General features: G+C 54.6%; 2 protein-coding genes across 5 annotated transcripts, besides 7 other annotated features; one reads left to right on the top strand and one right to left on the bottom strand.

Moving 5' to 3' along the window:
- On the bottom strand, positions 1145-6033 carry KLHDC8B (kelch domain containing 8B). 4 transcript variants are annotated; one of them, XM_006713015.4, is made up of 6 exons: positions 5946-6033; positions 4456-4995; positions 3228-3392; positions 2665-2910; positions 2468-2569; positions 1145-2026 (listed from the first exon to the last, which is right to left on the bottom strand). In XM_006713015.4, the coding sequence occupies exons 2-6, from the start codon at positions 4859-4861 to the stop codon at positions 1830-1832; spliced, it is 1116 nt and encodes a 371-aa protein (XP_006713078.1). In that variant the 5' UTR covers positions 4862-4995; positions 5946-6033; the 3' UTR covers positions 1145-1829. The 4 variants fall into 4 exon arrangements, with proteins under 4 accessions (XP_006713078.1, XP_006713079.1, XP_005264995.1 ...); XM_006713016.4 differs by having other exon boundaries at positions 2665-2889; XM_005264938.4 differs by having other exon boundaries at positions 4486-4995.
- Positions 6018-6117: a silencer, noted in NCBI's record as "silent region_14358". NCBI's record gives its function as "represses an Ori minimal core promoter by ATAC-STARR-seq in GM12878 lymphoblastoid cells {active_cell/tissue: GM12878}" and the evidence as "EXISTENCE:reporter gene assay evidence [ECO:0000049][PMID:35858748]".
- Positions 6338-6507: a silencer, noted in NCBI's record as "silent region_14357". NCBI's record gives its function as "represses an Ori minimal core promoter by ATAC-STARR-seq in GM12878 lymphoblastoid cells {active_cell/tissue: GM12878}" and the evidence as "EXISTENCE:reporter gene assay evidence [ECO:0000049][PMID:35858748]".
- Positions 11019-11138: an enhancer, noted in NCBI's record as "active region_19857". NCBI's record gives its function as "activates an Ori minimal core promoter by ATAC-STARR-seq in GM12878 lymphoblastoid cells {active_cell/tissue: GM12878}" and the evidence as "EXISTENCE:reporter gene assay evidence [ECO:0000049][PMID:35858748]".
- Positions 11159-11228: an enhancer, noted in NCBI's record as "active region_19856". NCBI's record gives its function as "activates an Ori minimal core promoter by ATAC-STARR-seq in GM12878 lymphoblastoid cells {active_cell/tissue: GM12878}" and the evidence as "EXISTENCE:reporter gene assay evidence [ECO:0000049][PMID:35858748]".
- On the top strand, positions 11300-15096 carry CCDC71 (coiled-coil domain containing 71). Its single transcript, NM_022903.4, has 2 exons — positions 11300-11364; positions 13371-15096. Exon 2 carries the CDS (start codon positions 13423-13425, stop codon positions 14824-14826), a length of 1404 nt encoding a protein of 467 aa, NP_075054.3. The 5' UTR covers positions 11300-11364; positions 13371-13422; the 3' UTR covers positions 14827-15096.
- Positions 11379-11458: a silencer, noted in NCBI's record as "silent region_14356". NCBI's record gives its function as "represses an Ori minimal core promoter by ATAC-STARR-seq in GM12878 lymphoblastoid cells {active_cell/tissue: GM12878}" and the evidence as "EXISTENCE:reporter gene assay evidence [ECO:0000049][PMID:35858748]".
- Positions 11479-11538: a silencer, noted in NCBI's record as "silent region_14355". NCBI's record gives its function as "represses an Ori minimal core promoter by ATAC-STARR-seq in GM12878 lymphoblastoid cells {active_cell/tissue: GM12878}" and the evidence as "EXISTENCE:reporter gene assay evidence [ECO:0000049][PMID:35858748]".
- Positions 13774-14274: an enhancer, noted in NCBI's record as "H3K4me1 hESC enhancer chr3:49200790-49201290 (GRCh37/hg19 assembly coordinates)". NCBI's record gives its function as "activates a minimal SCP1, AML or CMV promoter by ChIP-STARR-seq in naive and primed H9 embryonic stem cells {active_cell/tissue: H9 hESC(naive and primed)}" and the evidence as "EXISTENCE:reporter gene assay evidence [ECO:0000049][PMID:30033119]".
- Positions 15097-21737: the final 6641 nt, after the last annotated feature.

Genomic DNA, 21737 nt, shown 5'->3' with positions numbered 1-21737 from the left:
CAGCCTGTCTGTGCTTGCAGCCCACAATGGGATGTAGCCCAAGAGGCTGAAAGGTAGTAGTAGGCTGCCAGGTCCTGTGCCTGTCTCCCATGGCACTTGTGCCCATGGTGTGTTTCTGTGCTGGGCATGGGAGGTGCTGCTCTGGGATCCCTGCCACTAAGTGAGAAAGGGTAAGGCCTGCAGGAGGCTAAGAGTCCAGGAGGATTGCTATAGCCACATCAGGTGGGTTCCAGGGCCCCAAGTACTACTCTGTTCTTGCAGTAAACCCAGCTGTAGAGAGGAAGATTAGAGGGCAGTCCCCAGCCTAAGTTGAAGTCAGGACAGAGCAGGTGGCAGGGTGAAGGGGGTGACACTGAGGGAGGGCTCCTTATGAAGGCAGCGGAGTGACTAACTTCCCCACAACCTTTCTCCTCTGGGAAACAGCCCATTCCCCCAGAGACATCTCTGTGTTGGTTTCCTCTGCCAGCGTGCCAGACAATGTGCAAATATCCTGTGGGCCACTGACTTTCTAGGTGCTTCACCCTAGAATGAAAGGCATCACTGGGGAAGCAGGTCAAGTACTCAGTTTAGCTATGGGGAAAGCAGACCCCAGAGACCAGTACTAGTGGGCGACAAAGGCTGGAAGAAGGAAGAGTTGGCAGCTTTCTCAGGAGGCAGCTGCCTTTGAGGGGTTTGTTGGGTGGCCACACAGTCCTGTCCAAGAGACGGCTGCCCCACAGCTGAGACAGAAAGAGACTGCCCTGGGCCACAGAACCCACTGCACCACCCCTCCCTGTGGGGGTGAGCAGAGACCCTAAGGAGACACTCTGTAACTTGGATCTGGAGGTCTTCCTAACCTTGTGGTATTCTGTTGTTTTCTGAGCACTTCTCTGGTCATCTTATCCTGCCATCCTTTGGTGACATGTGACAGCCCTTCCTTACTGCCCTAGTGCTCTCTAATCCCCAGGACAGTAAGGAGGCGCTGTCATCACATGTTGCCAAAGAATAAGCTGAGGCTCAGATGGAACAGAAACACCAAATCACTTTGGGAACACCGACCAGATCCAAGAGGCTCCTTCTGGACCCTCATCCCTAGGGGCATTGAGACCCCCAAAGGAAGGCAGGGGCAGTGGAAACAAGGGAGTTCACACCAGGGTCCACACACTAGGTTTTAGCAGCACTTTTACTTCCACATCCAAACTCCCTGGGTCCTCACAACAGCCCTGTGAGGTAGGTAGGGTAGGAAGGTTTCAGAGATCCCCATTTATAGATGAGGATGCTGAGGCACAGAGAGGTGAAGTGACTTGTCCAAGGTCATACAACCAGCAGTGTAGAGGGCTCAAAGCCAGCATTCCTCCACTTGAACTCCTGCGCTCCGGCCCTCTGGCAGTTCCCACATCCTCTCTATTCTCTCTGTGTCCCCCACCCTCTCAACTCTCCTGGGTCTGCAGGGACCCTAAAGGCAGCCTGGCAGCTGAGATTTTTCAGGAATGGCAACTGGGGTAGGCCTGGTCAACTCCAGATAGGAACTGACCCTGAAGAGCATGAGGCCAGCTTTGCTTCTCCCCATTTCCCAGTTGGATGGAAGGCCTAGTAGGTCCCAGGGCAAGGATGGAGCTAGGCATGATTCATGAACGAATGGTGATAAAGGTAGGTGTAAGCATATGTGTGTCCTGCACTAAAGACAAAGGCTCCCCTAACCCAAGGCCCCAAGGCAGTGTTTCAAGTGCTCACCCCCATGCCTCTCTCATCCCACAGAGCCACAGTGAGTGTCCTCAGCAGCAAAAGGAGCCATAGAAATAGCTGCCTCTGGCAATGAGCTGCTCCAGTGGACAGCTCCCACCAAGCCTTCAGACCCCATCACGCAGACACAGTGCCTCCACGGCTTGACTGGGGCCCTGGGCCACACCCCCAATAACAAACAGCCGGGGCCCAGCCTGCAGACTAGAGCAGGAGCAGCGGGCAGTGGGCATGGCAGGCAATGCCTCCCAGCGCCGCCGTGCAAGGCTAAAGCTCTCCACAGAGCCCAAAGGACATGGCTGGTTTCCTGCAAGAAGGAGAGAGAAGGCTGTGAGAGGCACAGGCCGTAGGGACTCCAGGCCCTTCTGCTCCCTAAGCCCAGAGAATAGCCCAGTAGTTATCACCCCAGGATGAGCTATCAGGGCCTTGCTCCTCATTGCCTATGTTCATCATTTGTTCATTCATTTATGTTTCTATATGTTCTCTTGACTGTGCATACAGTGGTCATTTGTCCTGCTGCTGTCTCGTAGACCCTTGCTGGTGCTTGACAGAGCCCCCAGTCACTGAGGAACACCCTGAGTGCTGGGCCAGGCAGACCACATCCTGCCTACTTCATAGATAGGGAAAAGAGCTCACAAAGCCCTGACCCCTGGAGTGCCTGGAGATGGGCAGAAGGTGACACACATGCTGGGGGCTAGTCTTTCCTGTCTTGGGACTCCCTCCTCTCCCCAGCCCCATAGAGACTTACCAAGGCCCCCAATGGCCACAATGTGGCCCCCAAGGGACCCAACCACAAAGTCTGCCCTCTTATCCCTCATGCGCAGGCTGCGGGGCAATTTGGTCCAGGACCCTGCAGGAGAGGGGAGGTCAGATCTAGTCATGTACACACTATGCCCCTCCATCCCACAGAGAGCGGGAGGACAGCCCAGAACAGCCACTGCTCACCATGCTCCAGGTCAAACATCTCCACAGTGTTGACAAAGTGTGGGCGAGAGTAGAAGTTGTGGGGCCCAGGCTGCTGCAGGCCACCCAGGCTAAAGACGCTGCCTTCAGCCATGGCGCAGCCAGCAAAGGCCCGACGGCTGGGTAGGCTTGGATGCCGGGTCCATGTACGGGCCTCCAGATCAAAGGCTTCAAAAGCAGTCACCGGGAGCTTGCCCTGGCGGCCCCCTGTCAATGGAATTGGGGTACCTGGGAAGGAGCCCAGGAGGCTTGGTGGGCTCCTTGCTCACTAGGTTGCTAATCTGCCTGCCTCAGCCTCCCACATCCTGCTGTGTGCACACTTGCACATGAATCATCCACCCTACAGTCCCTCAGGTACTGGGGTTTGGTTTTCCAACCACAGCAAGACCACCAGGGGTCAGAGCCTCAGAGCAGGCATGGATCACCCCAACAAAGCTTCTCTTGTTTTGCCATCCTGGACTGAGCCTGATCCCTATCCCAGCCAACCTATGAGGATGAGGATTTCTAGACTCTGAGCCCCCTTCCCACATTCCCCAGGCCCTTACCCAGGACATAGATCTTGTTCCCGTGCAGGAAGGTGGAGGCCCCATAGCAGGGTGTGGGCATGGAGGGTAGCGAAAGCCAGCAGTCCCGACGGGGCTCATACACACGTACCTGGGCCTGGGGGGCCGTGTCAGGGCCCATTCCCCCCAGAGCATACACCATACCATCTGCATAGAAAAGAGTAGTTCAGATTGTACCTCAGCCTGCCAGGGTACCCCACCCTGACAGCTGCCCTGGTAAGTCCTGGGGGTGGCTGGAGACCCATGTGTTTATAGCATCCCTCCCCAGCAACAGACACTCTACTACCTGCCTGCAGTGGGGGCTGGGAGATCTGGGATTCCTACTCTGGCCAGGGCCCCTCCGAGTAAAGAGCAGGAGGCAGCCGATCTAATTATAATCCGACTCTGTCTCCCTGGAGATGCTATGGCAACAGAGTCTGGCATCCAAGCAGGGCTGGCCTGGGCTGGTGGTCAGACCTGGAGGCCACAAGGTGGGGACTCCCCTCGGGGAGGAAGATGGGGGGATGGCTTAAGCCAGGGGTAAGAAACATGGGGATCTGCTTAGCACAGAGCTCAGTCTGGGGAGGAGGACTGGGGACCAGCTGGAGTTGGAGATGGGGCTGGGAGAGGAATGGCTTGGGTCTGCTGGGTAAAGATACTGTCCACAAGCCTTCTGCCCCAGGATCCCTGCCAGCACCTCTGTGTGACACTCTTTCATTATAGTAGGTTCTTGCCCTCTGTTAAACCCTCAGAGTCAGCTACGACATGTCTGGGGGCCTTAGGGTAATGGGCCAGTCAGCTGGGGGCTTCCATGGCAACCATCCCAGATCAGCTTGGCCTTTGTCCATATCAGGCTCCCTGGCGTGTGGGAAGGGTTGGGGGTGGGGCAGGAAGTCTAAGCACAGGCTCTGAGCCAAGGCCCTACTCCTCTCCCCCACCCCAGACTATTTATAACCCTGGGAGTCATTAGGCCATCCCACCCCCATCTCTTAGAAATGAGGAGTGGGGCAGGAACATGGCTGGGGTCTCCCATCATCCTGGGATCGGCTTGGGCTCTGCCTCCCACCTTAGCCAGAAAAGGCAGTTAATAGAAGGCAGCAGCTCAAATCTAGGTTGGAAAGGATACAGGGGACAAGGCCACATCCTGGGCACCCATGTAAAAATTACAGCTCTTGTTCAGTCTCTGAGGGTAAGGGACTAAGTCAGGAAATAATAAAAGGTGTTAGGGTACCTGAAGTGCCTTCCTTGGGAGGCCACTCACCTCTCTCCACAGTTGCAACCCCCATGGCTGCTTGAGGGAGGGTGGCCCGACGCTCCCAGCGGCCCTCATCCATCAGGAAGGCCTCTACAGCAGCTACCGGGCTCTGGACCTCATCCACACCACCCACCACTAGCACCTGCTTGCCCAGAACTACCGCAGCTGCACCAGCCCGGGCAGTGGGCAGGGGTGCCAGTGCCAGCCATGTGTGCGAGGCCATGTCCAGTGTCTCAGCAGTGTCCAGGGGCAGTCCAGCCCGGCCACAACCCCCCAACACCAGCAGGTGCCCATCTTGGTGTGCCACTGTGCCATAGACCCGGCAAGTGGGCATGGGGGGGAACACTTGCCAAGCAAAGGCCCGGCCACCTCCTGCAGACATGGTGTTCACTGCCAGTGGCAGGCCATGCTGTCTGCTCAGACTGTAGGCCTCACTGGGGAGGCATGACAGGGCCTCATCTTGATTCTGCCAGGGCCACAAGAGGTATATGACCAGTCCAGGGACCTTGCCTTCACCTGGAGGAAAGAGGGAAAACAGGGGTCAGGGCACTGACCGGCCCCTCAGGAAACAAATAAGCAGCCTGTAGCTAAGGGCAGGGCTGGCCCAAAATCACTGGTGGGAAAGGCAGGGGGAGAACCCAACCCCTCTGGCTAGCACACCACTGTGGAGGCCCTCCTGGAGTGGGAAGGAGGGCAGGCCCCAGGTACCCAGGAGCCTTTCCCCTTTCCCATGGAGGCATGAAGGATTCTCCTTCTCACCCACTACCCAAACCACTCAGCAACTGGGTCAAATCTGGGTCTAGGAGGGCAGTAGTAAGGTGACTAGAACAGGACTCTCCATCCAGGACCCTTCCTTTCCCCTCAACAAGCCTCACGCTGGTCCTGCATGAGGGGAGTCCTTACTGGCTTCCAGGGTGCCCTGGGCAGCCTGGGGGTCCCCACGCCTGCTGTCAGGGGTCAGACTCCAGAGTATCCTTACAACATCCTGGGGGCCATTCCACAGGGTTAATTTAAACCATTCCCACTAGTAAAAGACCAGAGTCAGGGTGTGTTTCAGACTAGGGGGAGGACTAAACACCAGGGTTCCACACTCTCCTCTCGAGGTCCCCCCTCAGGAGTTTGCCCATTCCAAACCCCCCCAGAAGCCAGATTCCCTGGTGTCCAGAAGTGGGGTTGGGGCGGGGGGCCGTTGGAGAAATCTCATGACCACAGGACTCCAGGGTCTGAGTCCAGGGCGTTTCCACCAGGAATGGGCAGCTGGACTTCTGGGTTCCCTCGCAGGAGATCCCCAAGTTCTCCAGCCACCCCTTTCTCTTGGTGGCTACACTCCTGGACCCCTGGCAGGAGGGCCTCTTGGCCCCAAACTTCCAGCTCAAGGATGTGGGGGGCGGGTCTGGGCTAACGCGCTTGGGGTTCTACACCCCGCGCCCCAAACTTCCCCTGAGCGCGGTTCCCGCGGGACTCACCCGCCGGTGCTCCGATGCTGCCAGGGTACGGGGTCCGCCGTTCCGCCTCCGTTGACGCGGGATCTGGCTGGGGCTGAAGTCGGGCTCTGGCGGGGCTCCGGCACTGCTCCGGCGCGGGGCGGGGCTGGGCCAGGTCCGCCCCTCGCCCCCCTCCCCCTCCGACTCAGGGAAACCTCCTCTCGCCTTAACCCTGCACATGCCGCAGCTGGAGCAGGGCGTGCCGATCTACGGTCATATGCAAACGGACAGATAAACGGACACTTGGACACTGGGCCTGACAGAATTTAGCGTCCGACCTCGGGCAAGAGTAGAAATGAGGCAGCGGCGAGCGACACAACACGTGTATGGCAAGGGGCAGTTCTGAGCCCGACCCAGCCTGGGTGCGCAGGCTGTGTCGAGCAGGCCAGCCGAACCCGAGGGCTTGAGGGGCCGGCGCCTGCCCACCTCCGCGGAGCTCCCAGGAGCCCAATTACAGGCTTCCCGGCGGCGCCCCCTGGAGGCCACTGGGGACATGGCCTGGGCCTCTGTCGTGTGGGGGCAGCCTGGGGCGCCCTTACCTGGGCATAAAGCAGGAATAGGTCTTACAGTGTACACTGAGGCTAGCGGGGGTGGAGGAACAGAAGGCACTGGCCCTTCTACAAACCTGGGTGGGGAGAATTCCTGGAAGGAGTGATACTGAGCAGAGAATGTGCTGGAAGAGTCAGAGGCCAGGGGACCTCCCAGTGGGTCACTCTGGCCTCATCCTGTAGGGCCTGAGAGACCTGGGCTACTCTGGGACCCAAGGCACATTATAACTATCAATTTTTAGTATCCTGAGCTTGCCTCTAACCAATTCTGGGGTCAAGCAAGAGCAAACTAGTGTGACAGGGGCCCACCTACCTCAGGCCCAGACCTTGGCCCTGCCTATCTTCTGAGCATTCAGAGTATTAGCTAAGTCTTCAAGCTGAGGGCCCATTTGTACAGGTCAGTGGTACCTGTGGGAAGAGGTCCTTGCAGTTGTCTGTGTCTGCTCACTGCCTTGTCCCCCTTTCATGGACAGTGCTTATCTTAGTTTCCCCCAAAGCAGACCTGGACAAAGATATACATGCATATAGTTAGTATGGGAGGTGAGGCCAAGAAACACCAGCAGTGGCAAGGAGACAAGGAAAGCAGCCAATAAAGGAAGTGTCATCAAGCAAGCTACCACTGTGGGCCATTGGGACCAAATCCTGCTGGGGATTCTGGGAGCCAGCGTAGAACATAGGCCTTACATCATTGCTGCCCCCAAGAACAAGGGGAGCTGAGATACTCATTCTCAAATCTCCATTAGTCATGGGTTGAGAGCTGTTTGGGGGCATTACCTATTAACTCCCTGGCCTCCCTCACATCTGGCCTTCCCAGAAGTCTATGGGTAGACCCTCCCGCATGACCGGAGAAGAGAGCCTTTGCTCTTTTCAGGGACTGTCAGTTGGATTCAGTCGGCCTGCACAGAAATGGTGGTGCCAAGGCTGGTTACAGACTGCACAGACCCTGACTTGAAGGCCTCAATCCTCCTTGTCCCACTTCACCTTGGACTTGCTCCTCAGTGCCCTCACTTGGGGCACTGTTTCCACCCTCTTGTGATTGCCAATAGGCTTCCAAGAGGCTCACACTGCTCTGCAGCCCCCTTCACATTTGCTACTGTTCCCTTTCCAAGCTCCCTCCTCCTCCTTTCCAGCAATTAAACACTTACAAGCCACTTGCCTTTAGATACCTCCCAACACCCCAAGTCTCTCTAGTCTCCCCTTCCTCCACTCCAGTCAAACTCTTGAAGCCATCTGTCCTCACAGGCTCCACCTCCTTGTTACTTGTCACCTCAATGTGCTGCCACTCCTCCCCAAAAATTGTTCTTGGAAAAGTCATCATGAAATACCATATAGCTAAAACTATATGTGCCTGTGGTCCTTAACTAAATCTTGCTAGCATCTTCAAAGTTTTGCCCCTTGTGACCTCAACTCCCTCCTGCTGTTTGTCCTGCCTCTGAGAATCTTTATTTTTTATCTATTTATTTTTTTTTTGAGACGGAGTCTTGCTCTGTCACTCAGGCTGGAGTGCAGTGGTGCCATCTCCACTCACTGCAAGCTCCGCCTCCCAGGTTCATGCCATTCTCCTGTCTAAGCCTCCCGAGTAGCTGGGACTACAGGGGCCCGCCACCATGCCCGGCTAATTTTTTTTTTTTTGTATTTCTAGTAGAGATGGAGTTTCACCGTGTTAGCCAGGATGGTCTCGATCTCCTGACCTCGTGATCCGCCCACCTCAGCCTCCCAAAGTGCTGGGATTACAGGCATGAGCCACCGCGCCCAGCCCACCTCTCAAAATCTTTTTTTTGAAACGGAGTTTCACTCTTGTTGCCCAGGCTAGGGTGCAGTGGCGTGATCTCAGCTTACTGCCACCTCCGCCTTCCGGTGGTTTCAAATGATTCTCCTGCCTCAGCCTCCCGAGTAGCTGGGACTACAGGCACGTGCCACCATGCCCAGCTAATTTTTTGTATTTTTAGTAGACATGGGGTTTCACCATGTTGGCCAGGATGGTCTCCATCTCTTGACTGCGGGATCCGTCCGCCTTGGCCTCCCAAAGTGCTGGAATTACAGGCATGAGTCACCGCGCCTGGCCTAGAATCTTTTGCAGGCTCTGCTTCTTCTCCATCACCAGGAATTGGCTCCTCAAGATTCAACCCTGGCTTTTCTCCCTGGCACACATATTTCCTCTTGGGGCAGTCCCTCCCAGGCCACTGCCTTCATTCACATCTAAAGCTCCATCACATCTCTCTGCTCAGATAGAGCTGGGTCCAGGATCCACTGAGAACCATATAAGGCTGGAGGGGCAGGTGGCTCACACGTGTAATACTAGCACTTTGGGAGGCTGAGGTGGGCAGATCACCTGAGGTCAGGAGTTCAAGACCAGCCTGGCCAACATGGTGAAACCCCAGCTTGACTAAAAATACAAAAAATTGGCCAGGCACAGTGGCTCACGCCTGTAATCCCAGCACTTTGGGAGGCCAAGGTGGGTGGATCATTTGAGGTCAGGAGCTTGAGACCAGCCTGGCCAACATGGTGAAACCCCACCTCTACTAAAAATACAAAAATTAGCCAGGTGTGATGGCAGGCGCCTGTAGTCCCAGCTACTCTGGAGGCTGAGGTAGGAGAATTGCTTGAACCTGGGAGGCAGAGGTTGCAGTGAGCTGAGATCACGCCACTGCACTCCAGCCTGGGCAACAAAGGAGACTGTCTCAAAAAAAAAAAAAAAAAAAAAAAAAAGGAAGAAGAAGGAAAAAAAGAACCATATAAGATGCCAAATGGAAAGCAAAGATTGGGTCCTGGGATCACCCTGTGTTCTCTCCCATCTCATCCTGTCTGGTCCCAGTTGTGCCTGTAGGCTCAGCAGCCACTAGAGTCCAGGTCAAGTCAGACTGCACTCTGATGAGCGCTCCCAAAGAGTTCCATCTAGGGCATACTGGGCACCAGGAGGCAAAAAGTTCGGCCCTACCACCCCCAAAGGGAGCTAGGTACCCCCATGATCCTTATCCCTAATCTCTATCATTTCCCCAGTTCTCATGTCTGGAAGGGACACAGCACAGCCGGAGGATGGACCTACCCTTCCTGGTTTTCCATTTGCCCTAACTTCTGAGCTGAACATCACCAGAGAGGGGTCTGGATATAACTGTACTGTTGCTATCCCTGGAGGATGGGCTCTGGCTCTCCATGGAAGGGGTTTCTGTTTGCACAGCCATGGCCCACCTGCACACAGGAGGCCAACACTGCCGGCTTTGGAGAAGCTGCAGAAGGTAACTGGTTGAATCGGTCCTGAATAAGTGAACAGTCAATCTTCAACCATGGACGGCCAGAGACTGGACTCACCCACAGCTGGGGACTGGGGGCACCAAGGTGGGGCTTCCTGACTGCACCCCATGAGATCCTGGCCCCTGGGACCCTACTCTTGCTTTCTCTCCACCAGGAAAAAAAGGCTAGAAGCACTGACCCCAGAGGAACAGGAGATTTTGCAGTTCCTGCTAGATACCTTGGCTATACTTAAAAGCAGCGAGGACCTCACCATTAGTGCTGAGGCCCTGGGAAGCTAAGAGGCACCAGATGAGGCCTATGGCACTGCTGGGTGGACTAGGCACTTGTCTTTAGGAGTGCCTGGACCCCTCTGTATAAGCAGGGAAAATACAGAGCAACCAGAGGATCCTGGTTGGAAAAAGGGCAGGAAAAAGGGCTAGTACCCAGTCCCTAAATGAAGCATCCCGCCACCCTCCTGTGATTGCCAATAGGCTTCCACCTGACCCCAACTACCAAATAAGGCACCACTGCAAGGGTCAGAGTCCAAGAGTTGTGGCAATATTTCTGCCTCCTGGCTCAGGCTCTGACCCTAGTGCAAATGCCCCCACTACCTCATCCATGAAACCAGGGCTCCCAGGATGGTTCCCAACCTGGACTTGCAAACCTCTGACTAATGGGACCTTTGGTCAGAGCTGTGGAGACCACTCTGACCTCTCACTGAAGTCACAGACCCCTAGGGTTGATTTTGACCTGTGTCCTATAACCACCACCCCGTACTAGCCCAAGAGCATGGATAAAAAGACTGAGGTCCCAGACTCCTAGGCAAAAGGAAAGGGGTTCTGGGCAGTGTTAAGACTGGAAGCAGGACTTCCTTCCATTGAGGGGCTGAGGCTGGGCCAGTGACTATACCTGCCCCCACCTGCCTGAGCAAGTATACTCAGGCCCACAGTGGTATACTGGAGCCCCCAGACTCCATGTGCGCTTGGGCTTGCGTGCACCACTTGTGATCACGTGCACACCAGCCTTTCATGCCATGTGCCACAGGCCCTATTCTCAGGAAGAGAGGAAGGCCTGCTGTCCTCGGAGAAGATACCCTTACTGCAAAACAAAGGAGATCACCTGAGACTCCCTGTCAGGAGGCACTCCTCTTTCACCCTCTGGTCAGGTGTCTGGGACTGAAGTGGGCATTGTCAGTGGCTAAAGATAGATCAGAGGGTGGAAGATGGCCTGAACCTTGTCAGGAGCCCCTCCCAGATGTCAATGCACCACTAGCTCCCCTCAGAAAAGGTGTCAGATGACCCCTAATCCAGTCTTGGCCGGGCTCTAGTGAGTCCTTGCCTGGGGCCGCGTCAGAGGGCACCTCTGTTCTTCAGACTTCTGCACAGGGCCGAACGGGTTTGGAGCAGTCACCGCGGCCACCACCTCCAGGCAGTCCTCCTTGGTACCCAATCTGCTCCGCCCCCAGACTTTGTGGGGAAATGGGGTCTCAGGGGTCAAGGGTCGGTAGGGCGGGCTGGGTCCCGGAAGCGGAAGCGCAGTGCACTTCCGGCGCGCAGCGGGCGGCCATGTTGGAGCAGCGGAGGCGGCGCAGAGGCGCGTCTTGGGTCCCCGCGGCGGCGCCGGTAGGTTGGAGCCGCGGGCCTAGCCGCGCCGCGGAGGGGCGGCCCGCGAGGCGGCAGGGCGGACGGGCAAGCGGCCAACTCTTCCCGGACCCGCGTCCTCCGCCGGCCTGGCCGAGACCCCCCACCCCACCCCCACCCCGCGCCCAGCGACCCCACCCTGGGGCTGTGCGGTCCCGGTAGGGCTAGCACCGTTCACCCTGTACATTTCGCTGCCTCAGTGACCCCCGCCTCACGGCTTGGGCCCTAAGGACGTGCATTCCCAGCCTGAGGGCCCCGATCTGCCCCCTCCCCCGGTCTGCCTGTGTGGCGCCTCTCTCACGCCCTATCTTCCGTCAACTTCTCCTGCCTTCCCCGGGGGCACGTGTGAAGGGAAGTCGGAGGCCGGGCAGGAGCCTCTGTTTCCGAAGCTTCTCGAAAGCCCAGAAAACCCCTCCCAAGAGCCCAGCCTAACCTGGGTGGAAGAGCCCCCAGGTCACCCCAAATATTTGCGCTGGGGCGCGTGTGAGGGTGGGAAATAGGTCCCTCTCTCTTCTACAGTTCACAGCTCTGGGAACTACATCCCTTCAAAAAACATTAATAAAGAACTAAAGTCATGTGCAAGGATTGTGCTTGGAGAACGGTCTCTGGGGAGGGGAAGTGCCCAAGACACCTGAGGATCCAAGAATGTTTCCAAACAAAGAGCCCTAGGGCATTTCCTCCAGGGTATTCTGAAGACTTCATCTGCTGCATTAGAGCGGTGGGAAGAAACTACACAGACGGGCCTCATGGCCCGAGGGACCTGCCTGATCCTGGCTGATCTTTTAATGCTCTGGTGCAGCTGGGGAGCTGCCTCTTGCTTCTGGGAACCCTCAGTGTTGGGTTGGGTATTAGATGTTAGTTATGATTGATGTCCACAGCTTCTTTAAAGAAGTCTGGGAGTAGTTAGGTGTTCTCAGTCACCTCCATCTGGGCTGTACTGAGGTCTGTGGCCCTCCAAGTCTTAGGTAGGACAGTGCATACCGCTAATGTCCCCTTGACTCACCATCCTACTTGCAGCCTTTGGCTCCCATTGTCCTTAAACTTTGGGATCTTGGTCTGGCTTCCTGGTCCCTGGTCTGCCTGGTTGCCTAGAGAGATGTCATTGGCACCTGCTACTCATCAGCTTTTTAGTTTCTGTTGAAGAAAAGTCCGACTCTTGATTAGGTCTCCATGCCTCTGGAGCTAGAAAATGGGTTGCTGAGTACCCTGTCTAGAGACTGAAAACAGAACTTCTGGTGGGCAGGGAGATTCCCCCACCCCACTCCAGCTCCACACATGAACAGCAGCAGCTGGAGAAACAGATGGGCATGGACAGTGGGTGTAAGTCTGGGCCCTTTGGCTAACATTCAGGGTTCTTTGTTGCTCTATCCTCGCCTGTTTTTTCACCTAGATCCCAGATCCCACACCAAGTATGCCTTAACCCTTTCTCACTTTGGAGCCATTGCATTAGCTATTCCCCTTTTTGTTCCATTTCCATCTAATCATTTTTCATTCATCACTCATATCCTAGCTAGGTGTTGTCTCTCCCAGGAATCCTTTCCTGACCCATTGGCAAACTGAGCTGAATGCCAGCATTCACTCCCAAGAATCTTAACAGTGTCTTTTTCTGGCCTTCTAACCTAGGTTCCTTGAGGACAGGGATATTGCCTGTATTCCCAGAGCTGAGTAATTCTAGGTTTCTGGCTTCAGAAAATACAGAGTTGAATTAAAATGTACCAGGCTCAAATCTTTTCAGGGACCCGGCAGCAGGTTGGATGGCTCTGAGGTATTTCTGAGCATGTATCTTGAAGAAACTCCCTGATCCTTAGCCTCTCCTCCCACCCCAGCATGGTAGAGGGTCAGGAGACCAGGGTTTTACACCAGGAAGTGTCTCACTCTGGCCAGATTCCTCAGTGTCATGGAGATTGGGGCACTGATTGACTTGTCTATGTGTTCTGGCCCCTTGTCTTAGTGCCATTCTTATTGACTCTTTTCCTCTTGTCTTGGAGGTGCCAAGCGCTGGTTTGCGGATACCCAGGCAGATCTGCAGTGCCTAATGCCATGAGTGTGGTGGTTCAGCATGTGGAGGAAAAAGCTGTGCACTCCTGGTCGCGCATCTCCACGGCAGGGAAGAAGGCCCTGGAAGAGGCACTGCTTGTCTTTAACCCAATGAGCCAGGATCTCAGTGCCACAGAGGCCCAGCTTGTGGCCTTCCTGCAGGGCCTGCGAGATGATGGCTTCCAACCTACCATCCTGCGCAGTGGTGATGTCTATGGCTATAGTTCATGCACAGCTAATCCCCCAAGCCAGACGAAACTGCAAGCTCGTGCCCCTAACCCAACTGCCACATCACCTCCAGCCAGTGCTCCCCGAACTGCCATGCGGTTGCCTGCAGGTCGGGCCACACTGCTTCCCATGCCGCTATCTGGCAGACTGGCCAAAGCATCCACACCAGCCCTTGCCAAGCATGCTACCACCAACCTGCTGCTGAGCTCTCTGAAGCAATCAAGTGCCAGCCATGCCCGGGGTGCAGCAGTGGGCTTCCCCACCCACCTTTATCCAGGTGTCTACCCTGCCATGCGGCTCTCTGTTGTCCTTGAGGCCCTGGTTCCACTTAAGACTCCCATGCCCTGCTTGGGTGCCAAGCACAAGGCACAGTCACTGCAGCTCTCACTTGCAGACTCTCCTCTGAAACTGCGGAAAAGTTCAGGGAAGGGTCCGGGGAACCCTCGGCCCAAAGCTCCCAGAAAAACCACAAGCAAGGGCCCCAAGTGTCTGACTCGCAAAGGCCCTGGGGCTGGACCCCGACGAGGCTCTGGGCACCAGAGCAAAACCAACAGAGCCACTGGGTCCCCCAGTGTCCGGCGAATGAAAGGGGGCTCTGCCCTGGGCACCAAAACAGCCCAGGCCAAGGTAGCTCGAACACTGGCCAAAGCTGCTCGTGCCCAAGCCAAGGTGGCTCGAACACAGGCCAAGGCTGCTAAGGCCCGGGCCAAGGCCAAGGCAGCACAGGTCAAGGCTAAGGCCAAAGCTAAGGCAGCACAGGTCAAGGCCAAGGCCAAAGTCATGGCAGCATGGGCCAAGGCCAAGGCTAAAGCCAAGGCAGTACGGGCCAAGGCCAAGGTGGCTCGGACCCAGCCCAGGGGCAGAGGCAGGCCAAAGGGATCTGCTAAGGCCAGAACTACAAGGAAGGGCCAGAAAAACCGCCCTGAGACTGTTGGGCAGAAGAGGAAAAGGGCTGAGGAGGCAAAAGATCTTCCTCCCAAGAAGAGAACACGGCTTGGGCCCCGATCTCCTAAGGCATGGCTAGGGCCTGGAACAGCAAAGCTGCTGAAGTTCCGTGCCATAAAGGTAGATAGGCGGTCCTCGGATGATGAGGTGCGGCAGCGGGCTCAGCGGATCCTCCGCGTGAACCTGTCACCTGTAATACGGCTCCAGCCATTGCTGCCATATTCAGCAGTCTGATTCCTTCACACGGCAATGTTTGGGGAAACTAAGCCCAGCTGTCTGTGTGGCTAGTGGCACAGTGTGCTATGTCCGTGGACTCCACAATCTTGAGGACTCCCGGTGCCTCTCTAGGGCCCTGGTGACCACCAGCCTCCTTTCAGAAACCAGAGTGGGTGGGGTACGGTGGGGTGGGTGGGCGGGAGGGGTGTTTTCATGGCGCGATGCACTGTGACTTGTTATTCAAGTTGTATGTCTACTGTTCCATCTATCACGTTTTATACCTTTCCACCTTCCAGTCTCCCTGCCCACCCTCCATGGTCTTCTGTGTGTGTGTGGCTGCTGGCAGGCCAGCTTGAAGATATAGGGAAAGTGGTCCCAGAAATAGGCCTGCCTATTTCCGGGGGTTGTGGGAGGAGGCAGCTCCTGGGCCCCTTTGGAGAGATGAGGGGAAATTGGCTTCTGTGGTTGTCTGAGAGGCATCCCCTGAATGCAGAAGCAGAGCCACTGTGAAGTAAGACACTTCCCTTTGAGGCTGCTCTGGTTTGTGATCCAGACAGGCCCCATTCAGGACAGTAGGCCCCATGCAGGACAGTAGGTTCCATGGGGAACCTTGCAGCTAGTGGGTTTTTAGGTCCTGGAATGGAGCCTTTGTGGTACTTCCCTAGGGACCAAACAGACAGCCTGGCTAAAATCTTGGGGCTTAGCCTGGGCTTTTCTGGTGTGGGTCCAGGCCCAAAGGGGTTGAGGTGCTTCTCCCCACTCTGCTCTCGTGGCAGAGAGTAACTATCCTCAACTTCGATTGGTGGCAAGGTACTGGTGGTTGAGTCAGGACCACAGAGCTTGCCCTCAGTGACCAAATAATTTTCTCCTTGGTTGGGTGAGGTTTTCCATGACTGCCTCATCAGCAGTGCTTTCTGTATGAATCTTAAGTGCTCTCTCTACTCCCAGGTCCAGCCTCATCATGCCCTCCAACATGGTCCATATGTTAAAATACATTGTCACCCTTCCTGCTTTAGAGAGGGGGCTGGGCCCTGGGACCTGAAGGAGGTAACTGTCCTGCCCATCTGTAGTCCATCACTGGCTGCCCAGGCTGAATGGCAGTGCCTGGGGTTGGCAGGGAGGGGCACACATTCCCCCTCCCTGGGGTAGGGGCATCATTTCAGTGAGAATCAGATGTTTTCTGTTTCTGGGTTTGGGCCCCACAAGCTGCCAGCTGCCCTGGGTGGTGGACCTGTGGAGAAGCTCTGTGCTTCTTGGTGCCCTCCTGCCCCTTCTGCATCTTGTGGCATGCTTCCCCTGGGTGTGTCCTCCCTTGGTTTCCCAAGCTCTGGGACCTTGCTCCCAGCTGTGCTGTCGCCCCACTACCTTACATGCTACTTGCCTCTGACAACTCTTTCATTCATGATGTGAATATGGGGAATGACCTGAGAGCCACACTCAGCTCCTCAAGGGCAGCCCAGCTTGGGGCTCACGCCTGTAATCCCAGCACTTTGGGAGTCCAAGGCAGGTGGGTCAGTTGAGGTCAGGAGTTTGAGACCAGCCTGGCCAACATGGTGAAATCTCATCTGTACTAAAAATACAAAACAGCCAGGTGTGGTGGCACACACCTAAAGTCCCAGCTACTTGGGAGGTTGAGGCTGGAAGATCACTTGAACCTGGGAAGCAGAGTTTGCAGTGAGCCAAGATCTCGCCACTGCACTCCAGGCTGGGCGACAGAGTGAGACTCTGTCTCAAAAAAAAAAAAAAAAAAAAAAAAAAAGAAAAGAAAAAAAGAAATCAAGGTTCCCTGTGGGGTGGGGTGGAGAGGGGTGGGTATTCCTAGGATCTCTAGTCAGATGCTGCCCCTCCTAGTCCAGGCTCCTAGAACAGTTTCCCAGGGAGTGCCAGATATCCCTTCCCGATCTGGCTGCATCAGCATCCTGGTTGTTGGCTGGGGCCAGAGCCAGAGCCTTCGAACTTCATCCAGTAGGCCCTGAGCCCTACTTCATTGGCAGTCACCTGCAGGTGAGGGCTCTGGAGGCTGGTTTCTTTGGGTGTCCTGGGCTGGTTCAGCCCTGTTGGGGGTCTGGGTCATTGCTGGGAGCTAGAGGCATGTGCTGTGAAATTTTGGAGTAGAGATCTGATGATTAACCTCTCTAGTCAGTTTCCTTGAGTCCTAACCCAAAACTCAGAATTGCCCCTGTCTGGCCGGGCGCGGTGGCTCACGCCTGTAATCCCAGCACTTTGGGAGGCCGAGGCGGGCGGATCACGAGGTCAGGAGATCGAGACCATCCCGGCTAAAAAACGGTGAAACCCCGTCTCTACTAAAAATACAAAAAATTAGCCGGGCGTAGTGGCGGGCGCCTGTAGTCCCAGCTACTCGGGAGGCTGAGGCAGGAGAATGGCGTGAACCCGGGAGGCGGAGCTTGCAGTGAGCCGAGATCCCGCCACTGCACTCCAGCCTGGGCGACAGAGCGAGACTCCGTCTCAAAAAAAAAAAAAAAAAAAAAAAAAGAATTGCCCCTGTGACTCTTGCGACCAGGGAGGCCATGACATTAAGAACGTGATCTCCCAGAGTGGCCGTGGTGGCAACAAGACCTGGTAGGCAGAGAGTGGTGAGGGTGCAGTGTGCCTACGTGTGGAGGTACGGGGTCAGGGCCTAGTCACTCACTAGCCCTATGGCTGCAGGTGTTGAAAATGTCACCATCAGCCGGGCGCAATGGCTCATGCCTGTAATCCCAGCACTTTGGGAGGCTGAGGCGGGCGGATCACAAGGTCAGGAGATCGAGACCACCCTGGCTAACACGGTGAAACCCTGTCTCTACTAAAAATACAAAAAATTAGCTGGGCGTGGTGGCGGTCGCCTGTAGTCCCAGCTACTCAGGAGGCTGAGGCAGGAGAATGGCGTGAACCAGGGAGGCAGAGCTTGCAGTGAGCTGAGATGACACCACTGCACTCCAGCCTGGGCGACAGAGCAAGACTCCATCTCAAAAAAAAAAAAAGTTACCATCAAGGCCGGGCACAGTCGCTCATGCCTGTAATCCCAGCACTTTGGGAGGCCGAGGCGGGTGGATCACGAGGTCAGGAGATCGAGACCAACCTGGCTAATATGGTGAAACCCTGTCTCTACTAAAAATACAAAAAATTGTCCGGGTGTGGTGGCTCACACCTGTAATCTCAGCACTTTGGGAGGCCGAGGTGGGTGGATCACAAGGTCAGGAGGTCGAGACCATCCTGGCTAACACAGTGAAACTCTGTCTCTACTAAAAATACAAAAAATTAGCCAGGCATGGCGGCGTGCGCCTGCAGTCCCAGCTACTCAGGAGGCTGAGGCAGGAGGATGGCGTGAACCCGGGCTGCGGAGCTTGCAGTGAGCCAAGATTGCGCCACTGCACTCCACCCTGGGCGACAGAGCGAGACTCTGTCTCAAAAAAGAAAAATATAAAAAATTAGCCAGGCGTGCTGGCACATACCTGTAGTCCTAGCTACTTGGGAGGCTGAGGCAGGAGAATCGCTTGAACCTGGGAGGTGGAGGTTGCAGTGAACCGAGATCGTGCCACTGCACTCCAGCCTGGGCAACAGAGCAAGACTCCATCTCAAAAAAAAAAGAAAAAACATCACTATCCAGCTGGACCTAGAGGGTGCCTTCTACTTCACCCACCTCAAGACTTTCCCAGTGCCCCAGCCTGAAGGCTTGCTTAGCAAGTGCTGACCCTGTGCTTCCCTATTTGATGGCCACCAGTGATGCTTGTCCCTAGTGACTCCCCAGACATTCCACCTAGCAGCTGTGCTCCTTGAGCACTCAGTGGACCATGCCGCTCCTGGCACATGTACAGATACTTTGTTCACAACTGCCCAAGCCTCTTTCTTGGGATCCCTCCTACCCCTAGCCACAGAGTCAGTGACCTCGTCTGTGACCAGCATTACTCAGACATCAAGCCTTCCACTGAGGGCAAGGTCAGGCCCAGGGAAAGGGGGGTTGGGCCCTGAGGTGAAATAGGATGCTCAAACCTGCTTCTTTCTCCCAGGTGATTTTCAAAGTTCTGGACCCAGCCATTCCAGTAGAGGATCCAAACAACCCTGAGATTCAGGGTAATCATCCCCAGAGGCAATCCTGTACCATTTGTGTGTCAGGACAGAGCTTGTAGATACTGGGGGAAACAGGCCCTGCCCCGAGTGGGCACCGGTGGGACAGGGCAAGTAGGCAAGCTCAGTCTTCCAGGGCCGTTCCCCAGCCCTGCCCCATCATGGTCCTTTTTGTGGCCTCCCATTTATACCCCATCACTGTTCCCCATACTTGTACCCAGTGTATAGGGACTGGCATGGGGAACAATTTCAATAATGACTCTGCCCCATTATTGAATCCCTTTGTGAGGCCCCATCATAGTTCCTCATTTCCTCATACCTGTCCCCCGTCTCTACTATCACTGCCCCTCATAACTCTTCCCTTTGTGGGCCCCCATCACTGCCCCTGTCATAGTCTACCTGTCATTGCTCCTCCAACTCCATTCATGACCCTGACCTTTGCCCTTTGTCCCTGCAGCTGCCTCTAGGTGGCACCAGGGCATCTCTGGATGTAACACCTTCCTTGTAAAGAAGTCTTTGTTAAAGACTCCTAGTAGGAGAGCCCAGAATCAGGCCAGGAGGGTACCAGAGCAGGACAAACGCCAAACTAGTTTTTTCTCTACACCCAATGGGCACTCCTTGCCCCCCTTAACTGCAGTTATTACCAGCTGCTCACCTTGAGCCCTCATGGTAGGTCTGCAAGCTGCTGTTGTTTTTCACCTCAGATCAGAAAAGAGGAGAGGCCTGCAGAGGAAAGATACAGGAGGTAGCGGACCTCCTGTATCTTAGTAATGGACCTAAGATGTGGAGCAGGGAGAGGAGCCATGGACCCATTCCTTTACCTATGTATTCATATAACAAGCACCCATTGAGCTGTACACTCTGTCAGGCATCTTCTGGGCAGTGTTTGATGGGAAGCAGCAGAAAAGGTATCTGCCTTCTTGGAACGGACATCAAGTCAGAAAGACAGTTGATAAATAACCCATCTGTGACCATGCATTGTTTAATGATGGGGATACATTCTGAGAAATGTGTCATTACGCAGTTTCATCGTTGTGGAAACATCTAGAGTGTACTTGTATAGCCTACCACACTTCTAGACTATCTGGTATAGCCTATTACTCCTAGGCTACAAACCTGTACAGCATGTGACTGTACTGAAAACTGTAGGCAGTTTTAACACAATGGTATTTGTGTATCTAAACATAGAAAAGGGACAGTAAAAACATGGTATAAAAGATGATAAATGGTACACCTGTATAGGGCACTTACCATGAATGGCACTTGGAGTGAGTCAGTGAGGAGTGGTGAGTGAATGTGAAGGCCTAGGACATTACTGTACACTACTGTAGATTATAAACACTGTACACGGGCTATACTAAATGTATAAAAACAAATTTTTTCCTTCTTCAATAGTAACCTTAGCTTTCTGAACTTTTTTTACTTTACAGACTTTTAACTTTTTACAGCTTTTATAACACTTAGCTTAAAACACATGTAGAGCTGTACAAAAATATTTCCTTTCTATCCGTATTTGATAAGCTTTTCTCTGTTAAAAATTTTTTTTTTACATTTTAAACTTTTTTGTTAAAAACTAAGACACTGCCAGGCGCGGTGGCTCACTCCTGTAATCCCAGCACTTTGGGAGGCGGAGGTGGGCGGATCATGAGGTCAGGAGATTGAGACCATCCTGGCTAACACAGTGAAACTTCATCTCTACTAAAAATACAAAAAAATTAGCCAGGCATGGTGGCCTGCACCTGTTGTCCTAGCTGCTGGGGAGGCTGAGACAGGAGAATGGCGTGAACCCAGGAGGCGGAGCTTGCAGTGAGCCAAGATAGTGCCACTGCACTCCAGCCTGGGTGACAGAGCAAGACTCCGTCTCAAAAAAAATAAAATAAAAACTAAGACACAGACATACACATTAGCCTAGGCCTACATAGGGTGAGGATCATCAATATCACTGTCTTCCACCTCCAGATCTTGACCCACTGAAAAAGATCTTTAGGGGCAGTAATATGCATGGAGCTGTCATCTATGGTAACAATGCCTTCTTCTGGATACCTCCTGAAGGACCTGCCTGAGACTGTTTTACAATTAATTTTTTTTTGAGACAGGGTCTCACTAGGTTGCCCAGGCTGGGGTGCAGTGGCACCATCTCTGCCCACTGCAGCCTCTGCCTCCCAGGCTCAAGTGATCCTCCCACCTCAGCCTCCCGAGTAGCTGGGACCACAGGCCTGTGCCACCATGCCTGGCTAAGTTTTTTTCTTTTTTTCTTTTTTGAGATGGAGTTTTGCTCTTGTTGCCCAGGGTGGAGTGCAATGGCGAAATCTTGGCTCACTGCAACCTCTGCCTCCCGGGTTCAAGCAATTCTCCTGCCTCAGCCTCCTGAGTAGCTGGGATTACAGGCACCCGCCACCACGCCCAGCTAATTTTTTGTATTTTTAGTAGAGACGGGGTTTCACTGTGTTGGCCAGGCTGGTCTCGAACTCCTGACCTCAGGCGATCTGCCCGCCTCAGCCTCCCAGAGTGCTGGGATTACAGGCTTGAGCCACCGTGCCTGGGCTTTTTTTTTTTTTCTTTCTTTTTTTTTTTTTTTTTGATGGAGTCTCGCTCTGTTGCCCAGGCTGGAGTGCAGTGGCGCTGTCTCGGCTCACTGCAAGCTCTGCCTCCCGGGTTCACGCCATTCTCCTGCCTCAACCTCCCAAGTAGCTGGGACTACAGGCACTGGCTACCATGCCTGGCTAATTTTTTGTATTTTCAGTAGAGACGGGGTTTCACCATATTAGCCGGGATGGTCTCGATCTCCTGACCTCGTGATCCACCCGCCTTAGCCTCCCAAAATGCTGGGATTACAGGCATAAGCCACCGTGCCCAGCCTAATT

The sequence above is a fragment of the Homo sapiens genome, chromosome 3 (assembly GCF_000001405.40).
Source record: "Homo sapiens chromosome 3, GRCh38.p14 Primary Assembly".
In the NCBI taxonomy this organism is placed as follows: domain Eukaryota; kingdom Metazoa; phylum Chordata; class Mammalia; order Primates; family Hominidae; genus Homo; species Homo sapiens.
Note: the sequence above shows the minus strand (reverse complement) of the source record. Positions and strands in the feature narration are given on the sequence as shown.